General features: G+C 45.5%; 1 pseudogene across 1 annotated transcript; it reads left to right on the forward strand.

Moving 5' to 3' along the window:
- On the forward strand, positions 749–2,399 carry WDR5CP (WD repeat domain 5C, pseudogene; annotated as a pseudogene). Its single transcript, NR_026854.1, has one exon. The product of NR_026854.1 is annotated as a WD repeat domain 5C, pseudogene (transcript).
- Positions 2,400–4,859: the final 2,460 nt, after the last annotated feature.

Raw genomic sequence — 4,859 nt, forward strand, 5'->3', positions numbered from 1 at the left:
CCTCAAAAAAAAAAAAAAAAAAAAGTAATGTATGTCTTTATAGATGCTAGTAAATTTTGGGATGCAAATTTAACCCTACCAACTTTCTTTTGTTTTGAGACAGTCTCACTCTGTCAGGCTAGAGTGCAGTGGCGCGATCTCAACTCACTGCAACCTCTGCCTCCTGGGTTCAAGTGATCCTCCTGCGTCAGCCTCCCAAGTAGCTGGGATTACAGGCGCACACCATCACGCCCAGCTAATTTTTGTATTTTTAGTAGAGATGGGGTTTTGCCGTGTTGGCCAGGCTGGTCTCAAACTCTAGGCCTCAAACGATCTGACCGCCTTGGCCTCCCAAAATGTTGGGATTTGTGAGCCACCACCGGGCCTAACCCTACCAACTTAAAATAGAAACATCTCAAGCTACCTTAACTTATTTTACAGGAAAAAAATGGATTACTTTTCAGGCTAATTTTGTGACATTTCTAGATATTATCTAATAGTTAGGCCCTTTGCACAGTGTAGGCCAATGGCAGGTAAACATTTGTTAGCAGGAGACTCATTTGGTGAAATAAAATTCTCAGCCGGCGCGGTGGCTCACGCCTATAATCTCAACACTTTGGGAGGCCGTTGCGGGCGGATCACCTGATATCAGGAATTGACACCAGCCTGGCCAACATGGCAAAACCCCATCTCTACTAAAAATATAAAAAATTAGCTGGGTGTGGTGGCACGTGCCTGTGGCACTGAGGAGGCTGAGGCACAAGAATCGCTTGAATCCAGGAAGCAGAGGTTGCGGTGAGCCGAAAATGCACCACTGCACTCCAGCATGGGCAACACAGTGAGACTGTTGTCTCAAAAAAAATAAATGAATAGGCCGCGCTCCCGCCCAGGGAGGATGCGCCGACGCCCCGAGCGCCCGGCCCTCCGCAGCAGCCCGGCAGACTGCCTCTGTCATCAGGACCCTCCGTCCACGTCCCCTGTGCGGCCAGCGTCAGAGCCATGGCGATGGAGGAGAGGAAGCCCGAGACCGAGGCAACGAGAGCACAGCCGACCCCTTCGTCATCCACCACTCAGAGCAAGCCTACGCCCGTGAAGCCAAACTATGCTCTCTAAAGTTCACCCTTGCTGGCCACACCAAAGCAGTGTCCTCCGTGAAATTCAGCCCGAATGGAGAGTGGCTGGCAAGTTCATCTGCTGATAAACTCATTAAAATTTGGGGGACTCATATGATGGGAAATTTGAGAAAACCGTCTGGTCACAGCCTGGTCGTCAGATTCTAACCTTTTTGTTTCCGCCTCAGATGACAAAACCTTGAAGATACGGGACGTGAGCTCGGGAAAGTGTCTGAAAACCCTGAAGGGACACAGTAATTATGTCTTTTGCTGTAACTTCAATCCCCAGTCCAGCCTTACTGTCTCAGGATCCTTTGATGAAAGTGTGAGGATATGGGTTGTGAAAACAGGGAAGTGCCACAAGACTGCTAGCTCACTCCGATCCAGTCTCGGCCATTCATTTTAATCGTGATGGATTCTTGATAGTTTCAAGTAGCTATGATGGTCTCTGTCACATCTGGGACACAGCCTCAGGCCAGTGCCTGAAAACGCTCACTGATGATGACAACCCCTGGTGTCTTTCGTGAAGCTCTCCCCGAAGGGTGGATACATCGTGGCTGCCACGCTGGGCAACACTCAAGCTCTGGGACTACAGCAAGGGGAAGTGCCTGAAGACATACACTGGCCACAAGAACGAGAAATACTGCATATTTGCTAATTTCTCTGTTACTGGCGGGAAGTGGATTGTGTCTGGCTCGGAGGATAACCTTCTTTACATCTGGAAACTTCAGACGAAAGAGATTGTACAGAAATTAGAAGGCCACACAGATGTTGTGACCTCAACAGCTTGTCACCCAACAGAAAACATCATCACCTCTGCCGCGCTAGAAAATGACAAAACAATTAAACTGTGGAAGAGTGACTGTTAAGTCCCTTTGCTCCCACATGCGATAGACCATCAGGAAGTTGACCCGGATTGGCAAGAAACATGATGTCTCGGAGGCGGTCCCCTGGGTCTGTGCCTGGGGGTCAGGACCGGGCCTGATTTGAGCCTCCTTTTTGAAGATGATTTGGCCGAGTGTGGACCACCGGAAAGTTCTAAAAGTTGCTGGTGACATTTCTTGCCAATTCTCTAACACTGTCTAGGGAAGAGTTCCTAGTCTGTTGTGTTCAAACAGAGTCAACAAAAATTTTTAATTTTTTGTTACAAAAGGGTGAAGTTCAATTTTAAAAATAAATAATAAATATAATAAAAATCTCATGGAACTTCAATGTAAAATAATTAAAATGGCATTTTATTAGCAGTGTATGTTAAAGTTTCAGATTTGTAACATTTACTCTGTAAATAAAAATAGGGAATAAGTAAAATGAAGCAATTTTGATACATATGCAAAATTGGGATTTATGGATAACAGTTGCTGTCTTCAGCCTCAAGAGTCTACTTATTTGTTTTGGTTGCACAGTATTGAGAACAATTCTAATATAGCTAAATAATAGTAAATTTCAGTTAATAGCATAGCTTAAAAAGAAAAAAATAGTAAATAATTTTTAAAAATGGTAAAACACCTCATCTTGGAATGTCTGGATACTTTCCAGTTAAATTTAATACAGAAACTTGAAAGAGGAATAGCAGGAGATGTTTTTGTTTTGTTTTGTTTTGTTTTGTTTTTGAGACAGAGTCTCGCTCTGTCGCCCAGGCTGGAGTGCAGTCATGCGATGTGGGCTCACTGCAACCTCCACCTCAAGTGATTCTCGTGCCTCTGCCTCCTGAATAGCTGGGATTACAGGCACGCACCACCATGCCCAGCTAATTTTTGTGTTTTTAGTAGAGACAGAGTTTCACCATGTTGCCCAGGCTGGTCTGGAACTCCAGGACTCAAGTGATTCACTCATCTCGGCGACTCAAAGTGCTGGTATTACAGGCACGCGCCAACACTCCCAGCTAATTTTTTATATTTTTAGTAGAGATGGGGTTTCACCATGTAGGCCAGGCTGGTCTCAAACTCCTGACCTGAAGTGATCCGCCAGCTTTGGCCTCCCAAAGTGCTGAGATTACAGGCGCGAGCCACTGCGCCCAGCTGGGGCTGCTATTTTTGAATCTGCTTTTAAAGAGCAGGTGGTACCTTTCCCTTCCTCTTTTCCTTTTTCCTTGCTGGCTAGAATGAAAACATGATGCTTAGAGTGGGAGCAGCCATCCTGGACATGAGATGGGAGACTTGTGTCAAGGACAGCAGAGCGACCAGATGAGGAAGGCTTGGGCCTTTTCCAGCCCTCGACCACCTACCTGGACTTTTGTGTGAGAGAGAAATACATTACTATTCTGCTTAACACACTATAATATTGGGTCCCTCTTGGAGCATCCAAGTTTATATGCTAATGCAATTTATAAATTATGTTTATTCTAATGCCCGTAAAATAAATGCCTATTAAAATTAAGAAAGATATATATGCACCTAAAATAATCTCCCATGTTACTAGCATTATCTAGTGAGTAGTCTCTTACATGTCTGTATTCAAGAAAAAGGAAGGGAAGAAGGGAGCAAGCGGTCACTGTATCCAACTTATCCTCTGCTTATACATATTATTTTGCAAGGCAAACACTAATGATATATTTCTTCCTGAGTTTTTGGTCTAAAACTTGAACACACTCCCAGTATGTGGTGATGATAACAGCTAGTTGGGGACCACATGCTATGGAAAGCTAGGATAAGTCTCTAAAAAGTGACTAACAAAGTTCATGCCTTTTTTTTTTTTTTGAGCTAGAATCTCGCTCTGTCACCCAGGCTAGAGGGCAGTGGTGCGATCTCAGCTCACTGCAAGCTCCGCCTCCTGGGTTCACACCATTCTCCTGCCTCAGCCTCCCAAGTAGCTGGGACTACAGGTGCCCGCCACCATTCCTGGCTTATTTTTTTGTGTTTTTAGTAGAGATGGGGTTTCACTGTGTTAGCCAGGATGGTCTTGATCTCCTGACCTCATGATCTGCCCATCTTGGCCTCCCAACATTCTGAGATTACAGGCATGAGCCACAGTGCCTGGCCTTTTTTTTTTTTTTTTTTTTGAGATGGGATCTCACTCTGTTGCCCAGGCTGGAGTGCAGTGGCACAATCTTGGCTCACTGCAGCCTCAACCTCCCTGGCTCAAGTGATCCTCCCACCGCAGCCCCCCAAATAGCTGGGACTACAGGTCCCCACCACCACACCTGCCTATTTTTTTTTTTTTGTCATTTTGGCAGAGATGGGGTCTTGCCATGTTGCCCAGGTGGGTCTCAAACTCCTGAGCTCAAGCAATTCACCCACTGTGGCCTCCCAAACTGCTCAGATTATAGGCATGAGCTACTGCACCTGGCCTTTTTTTGTTGTTTTTTTTAAATAATGTGATAGCTGCAATTGTGCCACTGCACTCCAGCCTGGGCAAGTGAGACTCTATCTCAAAAAAGCACAAAAAATCGGCTGAGTGTGGTAGCTCATGCCTGTAATCCCAGCACTTTGGGAGGCTGAGGCAGGTGTATCACCTGAGGTTAGGACTTTGAGACCAGCCTGGCCAACATGGTGAAATCCCATCTCTACTAAAAATACAAAAATTAGCCAAGCACGGTGGCGGGCACCTGTAATCACAGTTACTCGGGAAGCTGAGGCAGGAGAATTGCTGGAACCAGGAGGCGGGGGTTGTAGTGAGCCGAGATTGCACCATTGCACTCCAGCCTGGGCAACAGGAGTGTGAAGCTCTGTCAAAAACACACACACACACACACACACACACACACACACAATAAATAAATAAAATTTTTAAGTTAAAAAAAAGTGACTACAAAAATAAAAAACACCTCAA

The sequence above is a fragment of the Homo sapiens genome, chromosome 4, assembly GCF_000001405.40.
Source record: "Homo sapiens chromosome 4, GRCh38.p14 Primary Assembly".
NCBI classification, from domain to species: domain Eukaryota; kingdom Metazoa; phylum Chordata; class Mammalia; order Primates; family Hominidae; genus Homo; species Homo sapiens.